At 40.9% G+C, this 26943-nt stretch overlaps 1 long non-coding RNA gene across 1 annotated transcript, besides 2 other annotated features; it reads right to left on the bottom strand.

Annotated features, from left to right (window-relative positions):
- Nucleotides 1–1072: 1072 nt before the first annotated feature.
- LINC01525 (long intergenic non-protein coding RNA 1525) lies at nt 1073–26943 on the bottom strand. The gene is made up of 3 exons (NR_126408.1): nt 26706–26943; nt 25776–25889; nt 1073–1285 (listed from the first exon to the last, which is right to left on the bottom strand). It is a non-coding gene; the product is annotated as a long intergenic non-protein coding RNA 1525 (long non-coding RNA).
- Nucleotides 21495–22032: an enhancer, noted in NCBI's record as "NANOG-H3K27ac-H3K4me1 hESC enhancer chr1:117842999-117843536 (GRCh37/hg19 assembly coordinates)". NCBI's record gives its function as "activates a minimal SCP1, AML or CMV promoter by ChIP-STARR-seq in naive H9 embryonic stem cells {active_cell/tissue: H9 hESC(naive)}" and the evidence as "EXISTENCE:reporter gene assay evidence [ECO:0000049][PMID:30033119]".
- Nucleotides 22033–22570: an enhancer, noted in NCBI's record as "NANOG-H3K27ac hESC enhancer chr1:117842461-117842998 (GRCh37/hg19 assembly coordinates)". NCBI's record gives its function as "activates a minimal SCP1, AML or CMV promoter by ChIP-STARR-seq in naive H9 embryonic stem cells {active_cell/tissue: H9 hESC(naive)}" and the evidence as "EXISTENCE:reporter gene assay evidence [ECO:0000049][PMID:30033119]".

The following is a 26943-nucleotide window of genomic DNA, read 5'->3' as shown; positions in this document are numbered from 1 at the left end:
ACTCTTTGAATGCAAGGCTTTTGTCTTGTTTATCTGCATACCCCAGATCCTAGCTCAGTGCCTGGAGCATGGTAGATGCCCAGTCAATATTAAATGAATGCTGTCTGTGTTATCCATTTCCTATTTGATCATGAGAAGTACTAGGACAGAAAGAACTTGACTGCAGAGGAGGAAGAGGTTTCGGGACCCAGGGACCCACTGGCATGGACATGAGCTGCCAGCACAGCAATCGGACAAGGGTGGGAACAATTGCTCAGAAGCTGATTTGTTAGCATATTGAGTTCTCCCACTGGCCCAGCTCATTAGTTTACTGGGTACACAGAGCTGAACAGAGCTCAGGGGAAAGATAATTCACTCAACAACATTGACTCTTTTTTGCTCTCTTGTTTATCTTAGTTGCTGGTGCTCATGTCATGTCTTTCAGTTTCTTTCACTGAATGCCTTTTTGGTTTAAATCTTAGTTATTTTTTCGTTGCTGTCCTGGAGATATATGAACCAGAGCCAATAATATAAGAGCTTTCTTTTTCCTTCACAGCTCTGAAAGCTTTACATAAGTGTTTCTTCACTTCTATTTTATGGCCAGGACCAGATGCAGAAGTGCTAAAATATTTTGATAAGAGCTGTCCTGGCAGTAGTTCTTGCTTTTACAGCTATCCAGAGGGAAAGAATTAGCTAGGAAGTCAGCCCACAGAGAGGAGAGATAGAAGCTATGAAATCTCACTACTGACCGAGATTCTCAATTTGTTTTAAAAATCAGTTAGATGAAGACAGAAGGAAAATGTTTAGGCCACATCACTATCTAAATGGAAAACAGTAAATAAATTTGAAGGTCGTAATAAGCTCTAATATTTGTAGGGTGGAGGCCTCTGAAGTGTATAAAATGCTTTTACATGCAAACTGATATCCTGAGACCTCTTGAGTGTTTGTTTGATACCTTTCCTCACCCATCATAAGGGTGATGCCTGATACTTCTATAACAAAACGCAGGTTAACAAGAGAAAAACAGAACAGATTTCTTTAATCAAAGTCTTACCTGATACAGGAAGCCTTCAGAAATGAAGACCCAAAGACCCAGGGAAAACTATCCATTTTTATTCTTAGATTCGATGAAGAATGGACAGCCATGTAGAAACGTGGTAGGACCAAAGAGGTCTGATCTAACGGTAAGAGACTGAGGGGGAAACCAAGCAAGCCCTGTCTGTTAGGATTCTTCTTGGTCTCTCTGTGTGGCCTTCCTTCTTCCCAGACGCAGGGCAGTACCACTCTGGAATGAGGGTCTTATAACCTATAATCAGACACAGTAAGTCAGAGAATTTCTTTATGACCAGCTCCTACACAGAAAGGCAGGGGAAAGTTAGAGAAATATCTAGGTTTTACGGTTTTCTCTGGGGGTAGAGGTGTTCCAGTTTCTATGATTTGCGTTGGGGAGGAGGAATTCTGGTTTCGATGACACTTTGGGGAAGAAAGAGGGGCAAGAGACTGAGGGGCAGGAGAAGGTTGGAGAAACCTTGGTTCTGAGGCTGCTTCTGAGGCTTCCAATCTCCTTTAGTTCAAAGTACTCAGCATGCCAAAGCACCATGATTGGGGCATCATTTTCTGAGCCCCAATGTTAGGAACTATTAATATTCTCATGGAACAGTTGAAATTAAGGCCCAGAAAGGTTAAGTAACTTGCCCAAGGTCACACAGCTAGTCAATGGTGATGCTGGTATTTAACCACTACTTTCTACTGCCTGTCATCTTTTTTGTAGGGGAGGAATTAGAGGACAGGGAGGTCAAGTGAGTTGTACAGGGTCATATAGAACAAGAAACAAAAAGGTTTGGGTCCTTTCTTTCTATACGCTGCAATGGAGTCACTATCTATCTCTGAGCCAAACACTTGCCTTGTGTTCTTTTACAACTTTCTCTTCATTTGGCCCATTCTTTTGTTTCACTTCATTCTACCTTCTTCTACCTTCTTATGTCCTTTGGGGGCACTATTTTTTAGCCCTCTTTCTGTATCCCAAACTCATGACTGCATTTCAACTGAGGTTCCAGAGTTTTTACCATGTGCCAGGGACTGGTCTAAGTACTTTGCAAATATTAACTCACTTTTATTCCCCAAAACAAATCTGCGAAGCAGACAATACGATTTATCCTCATTTTACAGATGAGGAAACCGAGTCACCTCACTTGTCCAAGGTCACACAGCTAGAAGGGTAAAGAGTCAGGATTCAAGGCTGAGCAGCCTGGCTTCATAGCCCCATTTAAATAATTTTGCTACAGCCACCTTTCATTTGGGCCTTGAATGGATCAATGTATCCATCTATGGAAATATGTTCATACTTAGGTTTTCCTGGACATAAATACTCTAGATGTTGTTGTTTTCCACACCTTTCGATCTACCTAACAAACACATAAATTTAGACAGTGTGATCCCAAACCCTGAGAAGTAACTTTGGGGAAAGGAATTTCTAAAGGATATATTTGGGATAAAACTAAAATTCGAGTTTTCTGAGTTTCAGTCTGGAATTCTATTTATCCATTAATTTGTTCATTCACTAGCCTGATGTTGCCTATTACCTGTCTGAAAAATATAATAGCAGCAAAAAATTACTCAATTAAGCTGCTTAAAGGATTAGTTCATAAAGATAAAATAAGCTAATAAACTAGTTGAATAGGTTGGAATATGTTTGCAACTGTAGAAAACATGTCATTTTCCAAAGAGAGAAATTTAGTCTGACAGAAGGGAGGATAACTAGCATGGGAATAGCAATGAAATAAAAATTCTGAATCCAATTTCCTTTGTAGAGATGTATCAGATTTTAATCATCCAAACCAAATGGCTGAAACCCATTTAAAGCCAAATCAACTAAAATTTGCCTCATACTTACGTAGGTATCATTTTTTTTCATTTGCCACTAGACTAAAAGCTGTTTGCATATGAAACTGAAGGATACACATTTTGGTCTCCCCCAGAATGCCTGGCACAGTGCCTAGCACATAGCAGGTGCTCAATAAATGTTTATTGAATTGAATTAAAAGAAGACATTCACTACTTATCAATTCTGCATTCACCCCAGGAGAAAAAAAGAGTGAATGTGATATTATGCTCTACTAAGTGCAAAAATGAAAACGAATGCCACCTCAAAGTTGGTAATTTAAGAATATAAGGACGTTGAAATAAAGGCTCTCCACAATGGAGAATTGCTTGCAAAGCATTTTCTATATCAAGGTTTACTATAATAATACCACAGAATAGCCCAATGCCTTTCTATTTTAATTTTAACTTTTCCAAGATCAAAGAATAAAAAACTCTCTGAAAAAGACAGTCACTCGTTATATTTGATCTCAATTTAAAGTTTGTTTTTTAACCTACTTAGATTCGAAGTAGAAGAACTTGGGGATTGAAGCAGCCTTGTTAATTTACCTGGGTATATCAGGGTTTTGTTTTTTTTTTTTTTTTTTTGGAGGGAAGCAATATACAATATCCCTTTCTTCTCATTGACAGAACCAATTGTGTAAGATACACAGGGGTCAGGCAGCTGTAAATCAAAAATATAATCTTTATTACTCATGAAGGTGCTTAGAGAAGGTGGTTTGGCTCCATTAGCGAGTATACTTGCCAGTACTGTGCCCTGAGATTAAATTTGCCCACTACATCTGCCATGCCAATCTTTGAGTGAAACAGCCTCAGACCTCCAATATAGGGGCGTGCCCCTTAGAACTCTACGGCACAGAATTATAGAGGAGATTGAAATACATGCTCCCTACAGGCATGTAGATCCCAAGGGAACAGTAAAATGGACTGACAAGAACAGGCCTACTTTGGTCTTCCAGATGGTAAATCATTCCTCTTTTTCTGGAAGGAATGAGAAAGGGGATGGAGCAAGAGGCTTGGAATGTTATTCTAATGGAGGTCACTTCACACAAAAAATCAGGAGCAGGGACTAATTGTTCCCTCCAACATATGACACATTTTACAGCAGATGTACTCTATTGCTGATAACTTGTGTATAATTTGAATTATATCTTTGAGTAATGATTTATTGAGTTCCTGCTATGTGCCAGGCACTATACTAAAAGCTTTATAAATGTGTTGGCTCATTTGATCCTCAAAATAACTCTAGGAGGAAAAACAGTTTGGTGTTTCCTCAATAAGTTAAACATAGAATTACCATATGACCCAGCAATTCCATTCCTGGGTATACATGCAAAAGAATTGGAAACAGGTGCACAAACAAAAACTTGCACACAATGTTCATAGCAACAGTATTCACAATAGCCAAAAGATGGAAACAGCCAAAATGTACGTCAACAGATGAATGGTTAAACAAAGTGTGGTATACTGCAACAGAATATTACTCAGTCATAAAAAGAAATGATTATACATACTACAACATGGATGAATCTTGAAAATATTATGCTAATAAGCCAGACACAAAAAGCCACATATTGTATGATTCCATTCATATGAAATATCTAGAAAAGGCAAACCCATGAATAGAGCAGATTAGTTGTTGCAAGGGAGAATGGGTAGTGTCTGCTTAATAGTTGTAGGATTTCCTTTTAGCATAATGAAAAAGTCCTGGAACTAGATAGAAGTAATGGTTGCAAAACATTGCGCGCTTAATATGACTGAATTGTACTCTTTAAAATGGTTAAAACCATTTGAAAAGGCCAGCCATTTTAACCATTTAAAAAGGTTAAAATCTTTTGGCCTCTTAAGATGCCTGGGACCCTTTTGTCTGTAGTCAGGAGGGGATTTTAGAAGTTCCTGAGAATTATAATCATTGTACTTTTTCACCGTCAATGGAATGATCAAAGCCTGCTATCAGAGGTCACCTGGTAGACAAGACTGATGAACTTGCACTTAGAATTCCAGATAGAGGTAATGGTTACACAACATTGTGTGCTTAATGTCACTGAAGTGTACTCTTTAAAATGGTTAAAACAGTGAATTTTGCCCATTCAGTATGCTATTGGCTGCGGGTTTGTCATAAATAGCTCTTATTGTTTTGAGATACGTCCCATCAATACCTAATTTATTGAGAGTTTTTAAGCATGAAGCGTTGTTGAATTTTGTCAAAGGCCTTTTCTGCATCTATTGAGATAATCATATGGTTTTTGTCATTGGTTCTGTTTATATGCTGGATTATATTTATTGATTTGCGTACGTTGAACCAGCCTTGCATCCCAGGGATGAAGCTCACTTGATCTTGGTGGATAAGCTTTCTGATGTGCTGCTGGATTCGGTTTGCCAGTATTTTATTGAGGATTTTTGCATTGACGTTCATCAGGCATATTGGTCTAAAATTCTTTTTTTGTTGTGTCTCTGCCAGGCTTTGGTATCAGGATGATGCTGGCCTCATAGAATGAGTTAGGGAGGATTCCCTCTTTTTCTATTGATTCGAATAGTTTCAGAAGGAACGGTACCAGCTCCTCCTTGTACCTCTGGTATAATTCGGCTGTGAATCCATCTGGTCCTGAACTTTTTTTGGTTGGTAAGCTCTTAATTATTAAGCATTCCCTTTGAAAACTGGCACAAGACAGGGATACCTTCTCTCACCACTCCTATTCAACATAGTGTTGGAAGTTCTGGCCAGGGCAATCAGGCAGGAGAAGGAAATAAAGGGTATTCAATTAGGAAAAGAGGAAGCCAAATTGTCCCTGTTTGCAGATGACATGATTGTATATCTAGAAAACCCCATCATCTCAGCCCAAAATCTCCTAAAACTGATAGGCAACTTCAGCAAAGTCTCACAATACAAAATCTATGTGCAAAAATCACAGGCATTCTTATACACCAATAACAGACAGAGAGCCAAATCATGAGTGAACTCCCATTCACAATTACTTCAAAGAGAATAAAATACCTAGGAATCCAACTTACAAGGGATGTGAAGGACCTCTTTAAGGAGAACTACAAACCACTGCTCAATGAAATAAAAGAGGATACAAACAAATGGAAGAACATTCCATGCTCATGGGTACGAAGAATCAATATCGTGAAAATGGCCATACTGCCCAAGATAATTTATAGATTCAATGCCATCCCCATCAAGCTACCAATGACTTTCTTCACAGAATTGGAAAAAACTACTTCAAAGTTCATATGGAACCAAAAAAGAGCCCGCATTGCCAAGTCAATGCTAAGCCAAAAGAACAAAGCTGGAGGCATCATGCTACCTGACTTCAAACTATACTACAAGGCTACAGTAACCAAAACAGCATGGTACTGGTACCAAAACAGAGATATAGACCAATGGAACAGAACAGAGCCCTCAGAAATAATGCCACATATCTACAACCATCTGATATTTGACAAATCTGACAAAAACAAGAAATGGGGAAAGGATTCCCTATTTAATAAATGGTGCTGGGAAAACTGGCTAGCCATATGTAGAAAGCTGAAACTGGATCCCTTCCTTACACCTTATACAAAAATTAATTCAAGATGGATTAAAGACTTAAATGTTAGACCTAAAACCATAAAAACCCTAGAAGAAAACCTAGGCAATACCGTTCAGGACATAGGCATGGGCAAGGACTTCATGTCTAAAACACCAAAAGCAATGGCAACAAAAGCCAAAATTGACAAATGGGATCTCATTAAGCTAACGAGCTTCTGCACAGCAAAAGAAACTACCGTCAGAGTGAACAGGCAACCTACAGAATGGGAGAAAATTTTTGCAATCTACTCATCTGACAAAGGGCTAATATCCAGAATCTGCAAAGAACTTAAACAAATTTACAAGAAAAAAACAAACAACCCCATCAAAAAGTGGGTGAAGGATATGAACAGACACTTCTCAAAAGAAGACATTTATGCAGCCAAAAGACACATGAAAAAATGCTCATCATCACTGGCCATCAGCGAAATGCAAATCAAAACCACAATGAGATACCATCTCACACCAGTTAGAATGGCAATCATTAAAAAGTCAGGAAACAACAGGTGCTGGAGAGGATGTGGAGAAATAGGAACACTTTTACACTGTCGGTGGGACTGTAAACTAGTTCAACCATGTGGAAGTCAGTGTGGCGATTCCTCAGGGATCTAGAACTAGAAATACATTTTGACCCAGCCACCCCATTACTGGGTATATACCCAAAGGACTATAAATCATGCTGCTATAAAGACACGTGCACACGTATGTTTATTGTGGCACTATTCACAATAGCAAAGACTTGGAACCAACCCAAATGTCCAGCAATGATAGACTGGATTAAGAAAATGTGGCACATATACACATGGAATACTATGCAGCCATAAAAAGGGATGAGTTCATGTCCTTTGTAGGGACATGGATGAAGCTGGAAACCATCATTCTCAGCAAACTATGGCAAGGACAAAAAAACCAAACACTGCATGTTCTCACTCATAGGTGGGAATTGAACAATGAGAACACATGGACACAGGAAGGGGAACATCACACACCAGGGCCTGTTGTGGGGTGGGGGAAGGGGGGAGGGATAGCATTTGGAGATATACCTAATGTTAAATGACGAGTCACTGGGTGCAGCACACCAACATGGCACGTGTATACATATGTAACTAATCTGCACATTGTGCATATGTACCCTAAAACTTAAAGTATAAAAAAAAACCAGCGAATTTTGTTGTGTGTGTGTGTTTTACCACATTAGAAAAAATAAGCTTGGGAGATAGATAAAGATTATTTCAATTTTAGATATAAGAAGACTGAGGCTCTCAGAGAGACAAGAACATTACTAGCAGGCAGGGGATGAATCTAAGTATTGTGTGATCTGGATGGTGTACAATTTTGGAGGGCCCTACTTAATAAAAATAATATAAAATTATGATTATAAAACTGCTAGGCTACCTCAGAAGGTTTTGCAAAGGGCCTTTGCAAAGGAGAACTCTGGAGCTTAAGCTGTATTAACTCCAAGGTAAATTCACATTTGCTGTTATTATAATTGAAAAGTAAAAAAATAAAACCTATAATTCTGTTTTCAATAACAGCAAAAACATATAATACCTAGGAATACATCTAACAGAAGATGTGCAAGATCTCTACACTGTAAAGTATAAAACATTGCTAAGAGAAAATTTTAAAGACCTACATAAGTAGATAGATATACCATGTTTATGGATTGGAAGACTCAATATTGTTAAGATATCACCTTCTCCCCATATTGATCTATAGATTCACTAGAGTTTTTTGTAGAAATTGTCAACTGACTCTCACATTTATATGCAAAGAACCTAGGATGCCTACAGAAAAGCTGAAGAGAACAAAGTTAAAGGACTTAAACTACCTGGCTTCAAGACTTATTATAAAGCTACACTATTAAGACTCTATGGCATCAGGAGAAACAAATAAATCATTAAAACAGAATAGAGTGCCTTAGAACAGACCATTTACACATACAGTCAAATGATTTTCAACAAAAGCTCTATAGCAATCCAATGGAGAAAGAAAAGTGTTTTCAACAACTGGTGCTAGAGCAATTGGATATCCATCTGGAAAAGGAAGGAGATGGAACTAGATTTTGAACCCAGGTCTGTCTGCCTCTATTTCCCCTCACTACCTCTCTGCCCTCCTCCCATGCCTTGACTTTGCCCCACCTATCCTTTCTGGCCACAATGTTCAGAAAGGAACCTAGAGCTTGAGACAATGGAGCAGCCGAATCAATCATAGTGTCAGCTGTCTGCTAGGAAGATTGAGACTTGTCAAACGGAATGGAGTCTTGACTCTGAAGGAGTTGCCTGCCCTCAGTCTTTTGGCCTCTTAAGATGTCTGGGACCCTTTTGCCTGTAGTCAGGAGGGGATTTTCGAAGTTTGTGAGAATGATAATCATTGCACCTTTTCACTGTCAATGGAATGATCAAAGCCTGCTATCAGAGGTCACCTGGTAGACAAGACTAATGAACTTGCACTTTGAATTCTTGGGATCTGTTCTATTTCTATTATTTATTTATTTATTTATTTATCATTTTATTTTATTTTTTGAGACGGGGTCTCACTCTGTCACCCAGGCTGGAGTGCAGTGGTGCGATCTCGGCTCACTGCAAGCTCCGTCTCCCGGGTTCACGCCATTCTCCTGCCTCAGCCTCCCGAGCAGCTGGCGCTACAGGCGCCCACCACCACACCAGGCTAATTTTTAGTAAAGATGTGGTTTCACCGTGTTAGCCAGGGTGGTCTCGATCTCCTGACCTCGTGATCCGCCTGCCTAGGCCTCCCAAAGTGCTGGGATTACAGGCGTGAGCCACTGCGCCCGGCCAGGATCTTTTCTATTTCTGCCTCTGTGTGACTTTGGGTATGTCACTTTAACCTCCCTGATCCTTAGTTTCCTCATCTGAAAAACTGGGTTAATAAATACCTCCTCTGCTTTACCCTACTGGATTGCTGTTAGATTCAAATGAAATAGAGTATATAAACATCCTTTGAAGACTATGAAGTGTTGCATAAATATAATGTATTATGGGTCCATGTGTACCTTTTGTAGCTGAAGTGAGTAATAATATTACTTCATCTGTTTGAAATTCAAATTTTACATATCAAGTTTACTCTGTAATTATTTTTCTAGTTCATTTTGTGTTTACAAGAGAAATCTAACATTCTAGTAGTGATTCAAGATTCTTTTATTAGTGTAGCTTTTGAGTCAGAGATAACTTGTTTAAAATTTCATTTACTCATTTCTTTGATTTGATAAGTATTTAAAAATTTCACTCATTCCATTCATTCATTTTATTCAACAAGTTCTCGAGTGCCTACTGTAGGCAAGACAGTGTAAGTGCAGGGGATAAATGGATGAAAAGAGACTTGGTGTCTGTCTGGCGAGATATAGACACTTAAAGGGCCAGTTCTGCTACAATGCAACCACTGCTGTGAAGGACCCACGCGCAAGGTACTGCACTGGGGAGGAGCTTCTAAGTGTGCCTGAGATATCAGGGTGGGCTTCTCAGAGGGGGTGATGCCATAAGTTGGGACTTAAAGGAAGAAAAAAGACTTTATTAAGACAGTCTGTAGTGAGTGGTATGGGCAAAACATGGCTAGAGTGAAGGATGCTGTGGTGGGTGGAGTGGGGTGGGGAGGGAAGGGGAAAGCGGGGGTAGTGACACATGTAGGAAGGCCAGTTAAGTGGTCATTGCGATGGTCAAAACGAAACAGTGGAGACTTGAAGCAGGCTCATGGTAATGAAACTGGCAAAGAGGAGACTGACTTGAGACTTATTTAAGAGGCAGAACCCCTAGGATTTAGCAATTAGTTAATTGAATGCAAAGGCTGAAGAAAATCTCAGTCTACCTCTTTTTAGTGATGTGGTTTTCGGCACAGGGCTTGGCCTTTCTAATTCTCTGTTTCCTCATGTGGAAAATAGGCAGTAATATTACCCAATTCATAGGGTTATTGAAAGTCTTAAAGATGCTTATTGTAAAAGAACCTATCACAGGGCTTTGTACAAATAGATTTTCCACAACTAACTAGTTTTCTTCCCAGTTTCTGTTTTTCTCCTCAGCCTATGCTATAGAAGCGTTCTTCCAAATTATGGAGACTTTGCTCTTAGAAATACTCTCAATAGCTAAAGACATCTGGGGTTTGAGGCTTTGGGGGCAGCATGTCCTGCCATAACACATCTCTGGAATTTTCATGATAAAGCAACTTCTAAGCTGGATGGATCATGTTTTGAGCTCATGTGGTAATTCTTGTGTTCTTAAATTCTCTGAAGAAGCAAGTGGAGTTCCTGGTAAGGTTCTAGAAATCTCCAAATGAGGTCTGACAGTATGGACTCTGTACTTTGGGCCCGGCCGTTCAGTTTACATGGTCCTCACTCCAGACCTCCATGATGCAAGCTGATGGGAGCTGGGATCCTATGGCTCTCCTAGCTGCCAACAGGGCAGTGTGCCTCTTTCCTACTCCAACTTGGGGCAAATGAAGGAAGGATTCTGGAATTTCCCTTTAGTTCCTACATAGGGTGTTGTTGTTCCCCATACTTCAAGACCCAAAACTTTTCTCATTTTCCTATAATGCTAGAAACTACAACGAGAAATGGGGAAATGATTCCCTATTTAATAAATGGTGCTGGGAAAACTGGCTAGCCATATGTAGAAAGCTGAAACTGGATCCCTTCCTTACACCTTATACAAAAATTAATTCACGATGGATTAAAGACTTACATGTTAGACCTAAAACCATGAAAACCCTAGAAGAAAACCTAGGCAATACCATTCAGGACATAGGCATGGGCAAGGACTTCATGCCTAAAACACCAAAAGCAATGGCAACAAAAGCCAAAATTAACAAATGGGATCTACTTAAACTAAAGAGCTTCTGCACAGCAAAAGAAACTACCATCAGAGTGAACAGCCAACCTACAGAATGGGAGAAAATGTTTGCAATCTACTCATCTGACAAAAGAATAATATCCAGAAACTACCAAGGCCTTGAACACAACTTTAGGAAACACTATTCCAATCCTCCCTTTTCCCTGGTTGAAAGAAATGACGAAATCTGCCATACTTCCTCCCATGTCCTGGCTGGATGACCAGGTGGCATTAGAGAAAGCAACACTTGAGGAGAGACAAACCCTGTGTGATGTATCCCTGAGAAGGTAGAAACAGACCTTGGAAACAGTGGGTTGACTACAATACCTACTGCCTGGAGAGATGCGGATTGAAAGCCCTACAGTCTTCAGAGGTTAAGATAATTGAGAATTTAAGAGCTTTCCTAAAGTAAATACTCCCTTTATTTCTGACTACCATTTATTGGGTGTTATTGCTATAAAGGAGGGACTCGTGAGTAACATATGATATTCTTATATACAAATAATAATTAATTATCTCCAGCTCCTGTGGTCACTATTTTGATCAAGATTTATGCCACTCTTTGTAAAACTAGAGCAGAGCTGATTCTTTCCTTTGTCAACCCATTTCACATTACTTTGCTACAGACCATTCAGATCCTGAGCTCCTGGGAACCCTGTTAAGACACACCAGAGTAAAGTCATTAATGATCTGCCTGCAGAAAACCTAAGCTCTGCTTCTCGTCCCTGGCACCTTCTTTTGTGATAGAGCTTGGTCTAATGGTGTGAAATAATGTGCTAAAAAAAATTTTTTTTTTTGAGTCGGAGTCTCACTCTGTCGCCCAGGCTGGAGTGCAGTGGCACAATCTCGGCTCACTTCAACCTCCGCCTCCCGGGTTTAAGCAATTCTCCTGCCTCAGCCTCCCGAGTAGCTGGGACTACAGGCGCACGCCGCCACGCCTGGCAATTTTTTTTTTTTTTTTATTTTTTTATTTTAGTAGAGACGCGGTTTCACCGTGTTGCTCAGGCTGGTGGCAAACTCCTGAGCTCAGGCAATCCGCCTGCCTCAGCCTCCCAAAGTGGTGGGATTACAGGCGTGAGCCACCGCGCCCGGCCTGTGTTAAAACTTTGAGGGAAATTGAGTTTTTCCCCAGGAACTCTGTGCTGAGCAGGGATTCAGTCTCCTGAATGGTGTCTCTGCAGTAGAGAACAGCTGGGACGTTGCATCTTCACAGCAGTTCTGCTGGGCTGCAGGATGGGGCATTGCAATTAAACCAGGAGTAGTAGAGGATGGTAGCAGTCTTCACCTGGCAACTCAGCACCCGGTCCATAGACGTAATCACGATAAGTAAATCTGTGGTCTTATAGGAGATGTAATTTAGGATAGTACTAGGAGCCAACTTATTATAATAAAAAATCACATACAATGAATTCTTAATTATCTGATAATGAAGAGAGGATACCAGAAATTGCAGTTCACAGATAATCCAAAAAGCTCATTTCAGATACTTGTTGTTTTTCTTTCTTTCTTTCTTTCTTTCTTTCTTTCTTTCTTTCTTTCTTTTTTTTTTTTGAGACAGAGTCTCGCGCTGTCACCCAGGCTGGAGTACAGTGGCATGATCTCGGCTCACTGCAACCTCTGCCTCCCAGGTTCAAGCAATTCTCCTGCCTCAGCGTCCTGAGTAGCTAGTATTACCGGTGCATGCCACCACGCCCAGCTAATTCTTGTATTTTTAGTAGAGACAGTGTTTCACCATGTTTGCCAGGCTGATCTCAAACTCCTGGCCTCAAGTGATCTGCCCACCTGAGCCTCTCAAAGTGCTAGGATTATAGGCGTGAGCCACGCTCAGCCACATGTTCTTTTTCATCCAACATTAATTCAGGGCAGTGAGTTTGCCCTCTGTATTTTTAGTAGCAGATACAAATAAAAGTCAGGCTGCTTTGGGATAGCCAGGCATGGGGGAGCTAAAGCACTGCCTCTGGTTATACCTCTTAAGCTCATTCCCCCTTGTAGCTGTGGCACCTATGGTCTCAGAGAGGAAGCCCAGAACCCTGAAGAACACAGTTCAAAAACCACTGGCACACATTAGCTCTCGACTCTCACCTGCCCTGGGAGGTAGGCAGGTCAGGAATTAACATTCTTATTTTACAGATAAGAACAGGTTCAGGGAGGCTATGTCACATTGGTAGTAACCCGTGGATCTGGGACTTCAACTCAATCTTCTGGTGCCAAATTCAATATTCTTTTAACTGCACCTATCCCCTGTCCTTTGCTCACTTCCCCAGTCTAACCTCTGATGGTGGAATGCCACAAGAAGAAAATTCACCAAAGGAGAATTAAGGGCTAACCCACACACCATCAGAAATCTACAAAGCCTCCCACATTTGCTGAACTATTCTTTCCTCATTCTGGAAGTGACAAGTCAACCATGGGTCTGATGACGAGAGGTTGAAATGAGAGTTGTTCTCTGTTTCACTGATCACCTTTAGTGACTGGAATTTCAATTTCTTAATCATTTCTGTCACTGCTTTGCTCTGTCTAAATATTTAGGCAGATCTGTGCAGAGTGGATTTGTCTGTTTGATGTGCTACATATATTTATGTATTCTGATAGTCAGTGAGGAAACCATGCCACAGAGAGCAGATGTGATGTGACAGTTGCCAAGTGTGGCTCTCACTTTTCCTGGCATTCCCTGGGCCTCTCAAAGGCAGTGCTGGATTCTGCCTTGGGACCACAGACTCCTGGAGAACTCGACCACCTGACTTTCCTCTTCTATGTTCATTTCCTGTGAAATATGGCCATATCCATGGCTTCTATTACTTTCCCAAACTCTGGCCAGATGCTCGATTCTATATCTGCAGGCCTAAACTCTCTCTGAAGTTCCAGAGCTTCCTTTCCGGTTACCCGTTTGTAGGAAGCATCCAAACTTGGATATTCAAAGTTAAATTGACTTCTGGCTGAAATGGTGACCCCTGAATTTCCTTGACTAAGGCTGCTGCCACCTACCTCCTAACAAAGCTAGAAAACTCAGAGCTTTCTTGAACCCTTCTCCTCTTTTGCTATCCACTTTAACTAATATACCAAGTCATTTAGATTCAACATTTTAAATATCTCTCATCTCTACCTCTCCGCTTCCCATCCCAGTTCCCACAGTTTTAGTTCCATCCTTCATCATTCCCTACCTGACAATTGCAACAGTTTAATGGGTGTTTCTCCAATTAGCTTAATTGGCCTCTTTCTCTGTTGATTCATTTCCTATGTGCCCCAACACTTAACCTTTCTAAGATTAACTTCTTATAAAGGATCCCGCACAGTCTATCTTTAATCCATCTTGTCAGACTCATCTCCCATTGCACAACTCAATCTTTTTTTTTCCTTCACTCCTATATCCATTCAGTCGGGAAATCCTCAAGGCTTTTTGATAAAATATATCTCACAGACCCTGCTGTGCTGTTCCCACTGCTAGTCTACCAAGATAATGCTGAGACTCATCACTCCTTGCCTGTACTTTTGTGATCATCTGAGAGTTCAGCTGATCTCCTTGTCTCCAGTACACCTTCATGTGTTTTTTCCTCCAGTATATCAATATATTTATTATTACAGCTTTATGTTCTATACTTAATATCTGCCACAGTGAGTTCTGCCCTATTTCTCTTTTGTCATCTCTCCCTCTTGTCATGAACTCATTATTTTCAAGATTACCAGCTATTTATAAACTTTAATTCCATGTATATGTTTAAGATCTTAAAATATTAAAATTACAGTAGGCAGATTAAGTTGGAGGAGAAATAACCTCTTTATAATTTTGAACTTTCCCCATTCATTAACATGGTATGTCTTTTTATTTGTGCATAAACATTTAAATCCTTTAATAGAGTTTTTAAATTTTCTCTATGAGGTTCTTTTTTTAGGTTAACTCTTAGATATGTTATTACTTTGTTGCTATTGAAAATAGTATTTTGTTTATATTATATTTTTCAGCTGGCTGTTGCTAGCATACAGGATGCTTTTTTGTGTCCTTTCAATTTTGGAACCCGGTTTATATATAAATGAGTTGGGTAACTTTCAGGCCTTTAAAATTTTCTGAAACATCTTTGATAAGAGAGAGAGTATCTATTCCTTGAAAGTTTTGTAAAATTTACTTGAGGCATGTGTGGGTGTGCATGCAAGAGGGGTGTGTGTGTGTGTGCGTGTGTGCACATTTAGGTACAAAGTTATTGATGACTATTTTAATTGATTATAGTTGATTCCAATTTTTTATTTCTTCTTGCCTCAATAATTTTGCTTGAGAAAGTTCTGCCTCCATTTTATTTGTGTAATCAAATTTATTAGCATATAATTCCTCATAATATTCTTTCATTATGTTTAAAATCTATTATATTTTTAGTTATTTTCCATTTTTATTCTATATCTTATTTATTTGTATCTTACTTTTTCTCCCTCATTACTCTTGCCAGAGGTTTGTCTATCTTACAAATCTTTTTGAAGAAAACAATTTTGGTTTTGTTTTTCTTCTTTATTGTATTTAACTTTTTGAGTTGATGAGTTAATTTTAGTTTTTAGCCAAGGAGTATTTTTTGGAATGTCTCTTGCATGTTAAAGTTCCTTTAGCCTTGTTTACCCAAGAATATCTTTATTGAATCTTCACATTTAAATGGGAAAGTTTAGTTCTAGGTTAGAAGTCCTTTTATTTTTACTCCTTGAAAATAACACTCCATTATGCCAGGTGTGGTGACTCACGCCTGTAATCCCAGCACTTTGGGAGGCCAAGGCAGGCAGATCACGAGGTAGGGAGTTTAAGACCAGCCTGGCCAACATGGTGAAACCCCATCTCTACTAAAAATACAAAAACTAGCTGGGCATGGTGGTGCGTGCTTGTAATCCCGGCTACCAGCTACTCCAGAGGCTGAGGCAGGAGAATTGCTTGAACCAGGACCCGGGAAGCGGAGGTTGCAGTGAGCCGAGATCACACCACTGCACTCCGGCCTGAGCTACAGAGGGAGACTCCATCTCAAAAAAAAAAAAAAAAAAGGAAATAACACTCCATTGACATATTGATTCCCATGTCACAATTGAGACAAATGATGTCAAATGTATTTGTGTTACTTTGTAAGTCATATATTCTCTTTCTGCATGATTGTAGAATTGCCTTTTGGAATTATACTATAAATCCTAAGGGAGGTTTTTTCTGCCTTTTTTTTTTCTTGTTCTTTTGGTATTGTGTTAGTCTTTCTATCTAAAATATTTATTTCGTCTAAAATCTTTTATTCTGGGAATTTTAGGTCTTTTTTACTCATATATTATCTCCCATATCAATCATCTATTGCTAAATACATAACAAATTACCCAAAACTTAGTGGCTTGCAAGAACAACAGTTATTTCTTGTGGTTCTGTGAGTTGGCTGGGTGGTTCCACTGCTCTTCTCTGGCCATACTCATGTGGCTGCTTTCAGCTGAAGAGAATCCAGAGGGCTGGGTTCATCTAGACAGCAGTGGCTAGGCCCCTCTCTCCATGTGATCTTTTGTCCTTAAGAAAGCTATAGTAGGCTTCCTCAGATGGTCAAAGCAGCTTTTGGCACAAGTGCTTACTAAGCCTGTTTGCTTCAAATTTACTGGTATTTCATTGGCTAAAGTAAGTTACATGATCACATATCCCACCCCAACCCCAAAGCACATGTACTTAACACATTTTTGCTTGCATCACATTTATTGATGTCCCACTGGTCAAAATAAGGCAAATGATCAAGTTCAGCATGAATGTGAGATGGGATTGATCATGCATTGTAAGAGGTGAGATTCACTGAGGAGCATAGTTTTGCAATCTACCACAATTCCTTTGTCTTTCCTTCTGGGACTTCTATTACATGGATGTTAATATTTTTATTCTAATTTTTTTTCACTTTTTTCTTCCTGGTCCCTTGTGAAGTTCCTCAGCTGAATCTTGTGTTCACAAATTCAAATTTTTCTGAATCTATTCTGCTTTTTCTCTCTTCACTTAATTTCCTTAATTAAGCTGTTATATTTTTTCTACCTGGTATTTTTGCTTGGTTCTTTTAAAAATGATTGTATTCACTTCATGTTAACAATATACGATCAGGCCGGGTGCAGTGGCTCATGCCTGTAATCCCAGCACTTTGGGAGGCCGAGGTGGGTGGATCACCTGAGGTCAGGAGTTCGAGACCAGCCTGGCCAACATGGCAAAACCCCGTCTCTACTAAAAATACAAAAATTAGCTGGTCATGGTGGCAGGCACCTGTAATCTCAGCTACTTGGGTGGGTGGGTGAGGCAGGAGAATCGCTTGAACCTGGGAGGCAGATGTTGCAGTGAGCCGAGATCATGCCATTGTACTCCAGCCTGGGCAACAAGAGCGAGACTCCATCTCAAAAACAAACAAACAAAAAAAGCCAACAACAACAAATAATATACGATAATCTCTCTCTTTGATAGTATATGTTATGCCTATTTTAATTTTTAATTAATTAATTAATTAATTTTTGAGACACAGTCTCACTCTGTCGCCCGAGCTGCAGCGCAGGGGCTCAATCTTGGCTCACTATAACCTCCGCCTCCCAGGTTCAAGTGAGTCTTCTGCCTCAGCCTCCTGAGTAGCTGGGATTATAGGCATGTGCCACCATGCCCGGCTGATTTTTATATTTTTGGTAGAGACGGGGTTTCACCACGTTGGCCAGGCTGGTCACAAACTCCTGACCTCAAGTGATCCGCCTGCCTTGGCCTCCCAAAGTGCTGGGATTACAGGCATGAGCCACCATGCCCGGCCTATTTTAATTTTTTAACATCGATCCCATCTAGTAGGAGTGATGAAGTTTATTACCTTTCTTTTAGTGGTTGCATTCCTCAGTTATCTGGTATTTTTCACTGTAATTTCGTTTTGCCATGTAGGTGTCAGCTATTTGACAGGACATTTGACTTAGAGGGGAGAAGCCTAATCTCAGCCTCTCACTGGGGTCATTCCTGTTGATTGTAAGGAGGATGAAGGGAGTCAACGGATCAGAGCCTGGGTTTGATCATTGCTGGTTGTTGCCTCTTCATAAGGCGACCCTGCCCCCATAATCTAAGTCCTCATAGCTCTGTCCTAGATACTGGTTGAGGTTTTGTTGTTGTTTTCTTTTTCCATAGGCGTTGTACTGTCTTGATGGGAAGGCAGAAAGAAAGGGCACTGAGGTATTCCTTTCTGTTCCTGTCCATCCCTCCTCCTCACAGCAGGCTTCCAGAGTCATACAGTGAACATGCCACCCCTCTACTGGCCTAGAACTCAATTTTTCTGCCTCTCAATAATGTTGGGGCGGGCAGAATCATTTAAAAAGTTTTCTCTATTTTGAATCTCCCCCTGAAGGGGAAGTTGGCCAACTACAAACCACCATTTAGAGCCTGAGTCGACCCCTCCCAGCCTCAGCTGGGTCTATTCAGTTTATCCCCTTAGTGGAGTCCCCTCTTTTTGAGGCCAAGTATTTATTAGTCATCTCTGATTTCCCTGGCCCTTGGAACTGTCATATGTTCCTTGTCTTTCCTCTGCTTCCTTCTAATTTGTTGTTGACATCAATAAGGTCATTTTACTTGGTGCTTTGGCCTCACCCTCTGACATTTTGGAGTTTATGGAGGTGCCTTGATACCTGGTTTTATTCAAGATGTTATCTGCAGGTGGTTTTGTTTATTGGTTTTGTTTGCTGTCTTAATTGCTGTGTCTCTTTTTGTGGAGGGGAATCAGGGAGTTGAAAAAACCAGACCTTCTAGATAAAAGTCCTTAGACATTTGTCCAAACCCACAGAATGTACACCACCAAGAGTGAACCTCAATTTAAACTATAGGCTTTGCGTGATAATGATGTGCCTAGGTAGGCTCATCAGTTTTAACAAATATACCAATCTGATGCAGGATGTTGATGATGGGAGAGGCTGTGCATGCGTAGGGGCTGGGACAAAAGAGAAAGCAACGAAACTTTCTGTCTCCACTGTGTGTTTCCTTATGCAACCTTTTTCTTAGTTCATGTACAGGCCTCTCTCTTTTTGAGAACAGCCGAGGCTCCTTTCTGTCTCTTCCTTCAAGATGTTTCCCTAACCCAGAATACCCCTGGCTCTCCCCTCTGACTATTCTAGTCTTCACCATTCACCAGGGACCAGTTCAAGTCGTGCCTCCTCGAAGACTTCCCCTCTTATGCCTCTCCTTCAATATCTCATCACTAGAAACAGTTACATTTTTAGAGCACTTGAATTTAAATGCCAGGCACTGCTAAATGCTCTATCTATATTATCCTATTTAATCCTCACAACAAACCTAGCAGATACTACAATTACCATCCCATTGTATAGGTAAGAAAACTGAAACTTAGGTGAAACGTAACATGCACAAGGCAATGGTGAGTGGCAGAATTAGGATTTAAACCTAGATTGTGTCATTGTGTCTTCAGAGACCACCTTCTCAAACGTTTTGTTACACAGCGTCTCAGAGATGGCTACCATTAACTTTTCTGATGCACTTCCTTCCAGACATTTCTTTTTCTTTCTAAATATACAGATACATGTGCTCTTTTTCTCTCTCTTTCAGATAGGAAAAGTTATTTTTTGCATAAATTTTATGTAAAATTTGCATACATTTTTTCCTTGATTCTTAAAGTTATTAGCTACAGAACCAAGAACAGTCCTGCCTTTTGCCTTCCAACTAGATTTTAAATTCCTTGGTGGCCTCTTATTTCTGGATATCCCCTTTCACTACAATTAATGCAGTACTGAGCACTCAGCAGGTGCTTTAGAAATGCTCACTGAAATAAGAAAGGACAAAACAAAAAAAGGCAAATTTTCACATAGGGTATAATAGGTTGTCACAAAGGCCTAGGGGGCTAGGAGAAATGATTCTTATCTCTCTCTGATCTGTCACTTCTAGGTGACTTTGGACAAGATACTTAGGTAGGAAAGGTTGAGAAATGAACCTCCTGTCTCCACAGCTGTGGAGGAAGACCAGGCATATTTGTCACGGTCATCAACACACCTCCTTGGCAGGGAGGTTTGGAGGAGAAGGAAGATAACATCTATCAATTGCTCAGAGCTCCCTGCAGAAGCTAGACCACACATGTACCAAGGATAATTGCTGGGGGAGGGAGCAGGAACAGGAGAGCTGGTCCTTGTGCTCACCCAGCAGGATGTGAAAAATTCAGCTGGGTTCTTTTTATAGTTTCAATCATCCCTGGTAATGAAGATTCTGCAATTAGAACTCAGCTGGCAGTTGTGTTAGGGATGTGTGAGGCAGAATAGAATCCTGGGTCTGCAGGAGGGCAGGCCTGTTTGTCAGGACAACTTCAAGGCGCCGCAGGAAGCAAGTGATGTGATGTAAGGGCGAGAGTTATTTTTACAGACCACTTTCTAGCCATAATCACTCCTTAAATAAGTCCACTTGGGCATTACAACTTTAACATTCTATTTAGGCTAATTCAGCTCTCAATGATCTGTACAAAAGGAGGGAAGTATTGACACAGATAGTGGAAAACAGTGACACCTCATTTATTTAGGTCACCACTAATATGGAATTTATAATAATTTCACCCAGACTTGATTGGAGTTTACTTGTATATGTTTTGGGAAGAGAGCATTTGTTGAAAAATATTCAAAATGGGTTAGCCTACTTAACAAGGTAAACTGCTTTCAAATACTTAAGCAAAACAGTAAATAAACTTTTATTGGGCACTTACTATGTGCTAGGCACTGTGCTAAACCCTTCACATGTATTGTTAGCCATAATCCATTCAGTCACCTTACTAGATAGGCACTATTATGAACCCCATATTGTAGGTAACGAAGTGGGCCTCTTTTCCAAAGTCACATAGTTAGTAAGTGCCAGTCCCTAGATCTAACCCCAGCTAAACCTAAGCCACTTTTGCTCTCAGGCATGAAGCAATAAGTTGGTTACAAACAAGGCTCCTCTCATCACAGAACAACTCTGGTCATCTCTACATGGCATACCTGTTAGCAATTACAGTTATCATCACTGATTTTTAAAAATCTTTGTAGTAGGCCAGGTGTGGTGGCTCGCGCCTGTAATCCCAGCATTTTGGGAGGCCAAGCCAGGTGGACTTCACCTGAAGTCAGGAGTTCCAGACCAGCCTAGTCAATATGGTGAAACCCTGTTTTTACTAAAAATACAAAAATTAGTTGGGCATGGTGGTGGGCACCTGTAATCCCAGCTACTCGGGAGACTGAGGTGGGAGAATCTCTTGAACCCAGGACGCAAAGGTTTCAGTGAGCTGAGATGGAGCCACTGCACTCCAGGCGGGGTGACAGAGAGACTGTCTCAAAAAAAAAAAAAGACCTGCCCGGCCAGCCACCCCATCCGGGAGGTGGGGGGCAGCCCCTGCCCAGCCGCCGCCCCATCTGGGAGGTGGGGGGGCGCCTCTGCCCGGCCGCCCCGTCTGGGAAGTGAGGAGCCCCTCTGCCCGGCCGCCACCCCGTCTGGGGGGTGTACCCAACAGCTCATTGAGAACGGGCCATGATGACAATGGCGGTTTTGTCGAATAGAAAAGGGGGAAATGTGGGGAAAAGAAAGAGAGATCAGATTGTTACTGTGTCTGTGTAGAAAGAAGTAGACATAGGAGACTCCATTTTGTTCTGTACTAAGAAAAATTCTTCTGCCTTGGGATGCTGTTAATCTATAACCTTACCCCCAACCCCCTGCTCTCTGAAACACGTGCTGTGTCCACTCAGGGTTAAATGGATTAAGGGCGGTGCAAGATGTGCTTTGTTAAACAGATGCTTGAAAGCAGCATACTCGTTAAGAGTCATCACCACTCCCTAATCTCAAGTACCCAGGGACGCAAACACTGCGGAAGGCGGCAGGGCCCTCTGCCTAGGAAAACCAGAGACCTTTGTTCACATGTTTATCTGCTGACCTTCCCTCCACTATTGTCCTATGACCCTGCCAAATACCCCTCTCTGAGAAACACCCAAGAATGATCAATAAACACTAAAAAAATTTAAAAAAAAAGAAGTTAACTAGAATAAAGTAAAACTATAACAGTTGTCAAAAAAAGAAAAAGAAAAAATATTTGCAGTAAAGGATAAGAGGGAAGTGTCAGTTTCTTGCTAAATTATGAAATGCCTTTCTCATTCCTTGCTTATGTATGTACCTCCTGGTTCCTTCTCAATTGAATTTAAAACTCTTGATAACAACTCCTACGCTGTGACAACCATTCCACCTCCCTAAATTGTCTTATAAAAACAGAAAGCACACTGGCTCAAATTGACATTTCCATCCTGACAAACTTATCTGGGAGCTACAAGCTGCAGTTTGCTGCTAGAGTCATGTCTTTTTGTGGGCTAGGTAGATACTTCTTGTTCCTTCCTTAGGTAGAAATTCTGGGATCACATGTAGCATACAGACTGCCACATGCAGGGCAGTAGAGACCCCATGAAAATAAGAAAAACAGAAAGAAAGAAAACTTACTGTTTCTTAATGCTCTCATAGTTGTAGAATACAATAATCTATTTTATACTTTTTAGAGAAGATGTCCATTCATGAATGGATACGGATAGACCCATTCATAAATGCGTAAACTAAATTCTCACATGTAGGAGCAGTATGGCTTTGTGGATATATATTACTCTGATAAAATGTGCCAATATGCTAAGTCAAGCATAACCATTACAAAAGATGAGTAAACACACACACACACACACACACACACACACACACACGGCTGGGCACAGTGGCTCATGCCTGTAGTCCCAACACTTCGGGAGGCCGAGATGGGCAGATCACCTGAGGTTGGGAGTTCAAGACCAGCCTGACCAACATGGAGAAACCCAACCTCTACTAAAAATACAAAATTAGCCAGGCGTGGTGGTGCATGCCTGTAATCACAGTTACTGAGGAGGTTGAGGCAGGAGAATCGCTTGAACCCGGGAGGTGGAGGTTGCAGTGAGCCGAGATTGCGCCACTACACTGCAGCCTTTTGAAACTCCATCTCAAAAGAAAAACAAAACAAAACAAGCCCCCCCCACCAACACACACACATACACACACACACACACACACACACACACCCCTAGTGATTATAATTAATATATTGGAAACCTTTATCCTTCTGGTACCGTAAGCCTTTAAGTCAACAGTCAAAATGTGAAGTTTCATTTATGTTTATAGTTGTGACAAAGAAGCAAGCCGAAATAATGGTATTTAGTGCCAGCAATGTAAAGATCAATAAGCTGGTGATGTTTCCCTTCAAAGACTGGAGCAGCAAAGAAACTGAGTTGAAGCTGACAGACATTCAAGTGGCTACAACTAAATAAGAGTAGGTTTTGGGTGCTTTGTAAAACCAATTTCACTAATAGCATATGCACTCACACAAGATTTTTATAAAAGATAAGAAAAACGTTTGAAGAAAGTGTACTTTGGCCTTAGGTTGAATATTAGTATTGAGAAAAGGCTCCTATGTTAAAACAGAAAGGAAAAATCTAAATGTGGTTTTAAATATAGCCCCCTTTAGGCAGATTGTCCCAAACACATTTTTTTTTTTTATCCCTGGTCAATTTAATTGCTGGTAGATTTTTTTTACTTCAGTCCTACTACATTCAGTAGATACGAAACAGAATATGAGTTAATTTTAATTCGAGTAAATCTACGGTGGCAAAATCTATATTAAAAAGAATCACCAATGACCTTCCAAGGACAACTTCCTGAAGCCCTAATTTTGTGGTCATCTGCTGTTTTGAATGATATGTGCCAATACCCACTGCCCTTTGTGTGGATAATTAGAGCTGCTGTCCATAAACTATGCATGATAAATACCAGCAGGTACACATGCAGAAGTTGGGGCAACAGGAGCACCTTAGCATGGCTTCCCTTCGGGTAAATTGGGAGGGCTGCTTGATTTCAGGCCTGGGCTGGGCATGGCAGTGGATGGGCCTGGAGTTTCACTGATTCCTGGGCTAAGCGTAGGAAGGCAGGATATGAGGGATGTTCTGAAGAGGTAAACTGAAGAGGGTAGGTGAGAAGCAAGAACCAAATCAAACTGTGGCAGAAATAAAGGGTGGGTGGTAGGGAAAGGTAGAATGAAGAGCTGTGCAGAGCTGCCACCAGCGCATATGGTGGCATTTTGGAGAATTAAAAAAAGATGTGCCTCTAAGTGGATACAGCACAGTGACAGGGTTCACAGCTAGACAAGCGTGCTTCAGACTGGATTCTGTCCCATGGGCTAGGAGCTTACATTCAGAATGCAGCCTACATAACCATAGAAGGTACCCTGGAGTCAAGAGGAAGAGGCTGGAAAGCCTTCTGAGGGATGGTCGGAGAGACTTTGGAAAGCTGTTATGAAAGTAAAATTAAGAACAATATATACTTAGCATTAAAAAATATAGAAAGAAGTAAAAGTAAGAAGCTCTATATCCCCAAAAGCAACCACTCTTGACGCTTCCTTGAATATTCTGGAAAAAAAATGTCTAGCATAAAATTTATATGTATAACATTTCTATACTAGTATATAGATATGTACATTTACAAATAATTTTGTATTTACCTGAAGTGTTCCCATGATACATAGTTTCTGCACCTTACCCTTTTCATTTAATATATTTTGAAGTAATTTCATATGGTTTATGTTAATCCCTGTCTTTCTTTTTTCTTTCTTTTTTCTTCTTCTTCTTTTTTTTTTTTTTTGAGACGGAGTTTTGCTTGTTGCCCAGGCTGGAGTGCAATGGCATGATCTTGGCTCACTGCAACCCCCGCCTCCCAGGATCAAGCGATTCTCCCGCCTCAGCCTCCTGAGTAGCTGGGATTACAGGTGGGCACCACCACGCCTAGCTAATTTTGTATTTTTAGCAGAGAAAGGGTTTCTCCATGTTGGCCAGGCTGGTCTCAAACTCCGACCTCAAGTGATCCGCCCGCCTCAACCTCCCAAAGTGCTGGGATTATAGGCGTGAGCCACCACGCCCGGCCCATGTCTTTTTTTTTTTTTTTTAACTGGATGTGTGGTATCCCATGATATAGATGTACTGTAGTTTAATCAGTCTTTTGTTATTAGATATTTAGATTCTTTCTGATCTCATACTATTTTGATACTTCAGTAAATGTCCTTTATATCGCTCTTGATATCCTGGTTAAGTAAGGAGAATGAAGTGCAATCACAACAGTATGTCCAGTTCAGGCTACAGTGAGCTAAAAGCCGTGGTGGGAACTTGGCCTGACAAGTCTCTTGCCTTCAACAGATTTGCCTTACTTATGGTGGCTGATGCCAAATAGGCTCTGGGGGTAAAATGACAGGGTGGTGCATTGGGAAACACATGCCTTGCTTCTTGTAGGTCTGATATAACAGCAGCTCTCTTTCTGAAGAGACCCATAGAATGACCCACGCACTCACCCCTGCAGTGGCTGCCCTCACACCCTCTGCTTTACACAACTGGATGGGTTATGAAGCAGGTAAAATCTCTTTAACAGCGCTCTGCGGAAAACAGGCCTTGAGTGGCAGCTGTGGATCCAGCTCCACTTGGCAAACTTTTTTCCAAGAGAATGGATCTTTTGAGAATACCTCTGATGTTGTGGTTACAATCCATTTCAGAGCTTCTGTGCTCAATTTATACTTCCCTGGAGAGCTCAGTGGGCTCAGTAATGCTGAATTATACTGGCTCTGCTTCCAGATTTTCTAAAATGAGAAATTGAGGAAGAAGTTACATTAATGACCTTCCTTCTTCCTGAAATTTCAATCAAATGATAGGAAAGCAATCTGCATAGTAATGACAAGACCCCTCCAAGAAAATCCCTGTGCCCCAGCCAAGGAGAAGAACATGGAAGTTGTATCTATAATGAAATTCAGACCCTTCCACTTCTAAATCACAGGGAGGTTAATTCAGCCTGTGCAAACACAATCAGAAGTAGCATAATATAGTGGTCACTGGGACAGCTCACATTGTTCTTCTCCGTATGGAAGGGCAATAGAAAATAAACTGTCACCTGGACAAGGCTTGTGCTGACAGGGACCTTAATCTGGGACTGGTTGTTAAGGACTTTATGAAGGTACCACTGACCATTCTGAACTATGAAGGGAAGCCCTGCCTTTTTCAGCATCTAAGCAGAAAATATAATAGCCAGAGTTCTTGCCCTAAATTCTCAAACCAAAGGATTACACAACTAGTGGATGCTAATGGTGCTAATGGGTCACACTTTAGACGAGTTAGAGTTGTTCGGGAAGGGAGAGAAGTACACATTCCTAACCTTTTGAGAGTGTCTACCCACAGACCTCCATTGATACCTCTGCTAGCCAGAATGTGGTGCTGGGGGTATTTACTGTTATGACCTGGCGTGGCATTTCTCATGCTTTCATTGATTGCTCCAATGAAATTACATGGAGCCTTTACTTTCTGTGATTAAATAATATTAACTTCTCAAGATGAAATAGATCCGCACTCAATCCTCAGGGCTGTTAATGGCAACTAAAGAGCCACCACTTGGTGTCTACAACCTGCTGGCATTCAGCAAGATTCCTCGGTCTCCAAGTTGTTCCCTAGGAGCCCTCCTTGTCTCTCCATTGCTGAGTTATCTCCAGTTCTTCCCAAGCCAGCAATTAGAGGAGGCCTTGGCCATTGAATATGCCCATTGTCCAGCTGGGTTTTTCAAAAAAAGAGGCAAGCTTTATTCCTTTTCTGTTTACTCTTGACAAGTGCTCCAGCCCCAGAAAGGTTTCAGAGAATGGCTTTCTT

The sequence above is a fragment of the Homo sapiens genome, chromosome 1 (assembly GCF_000001405.40).
Source record: "Homo sapiens chromosome 1, GRCh38.p14 Primary Assembly".
In the NCBI taxonomy this organism is placed as follows: domain Eukaryota; kingdom Metazoa; phylum Chordata; class Mammalia; order Primates; family Hominidae; genus Homo; species Homo sapiens.
The sequence above is the reverse complement of the archived record's forward strand: the minus strand, read 5'-3'. Positions and strand labels throughout refer to the sequence as shown.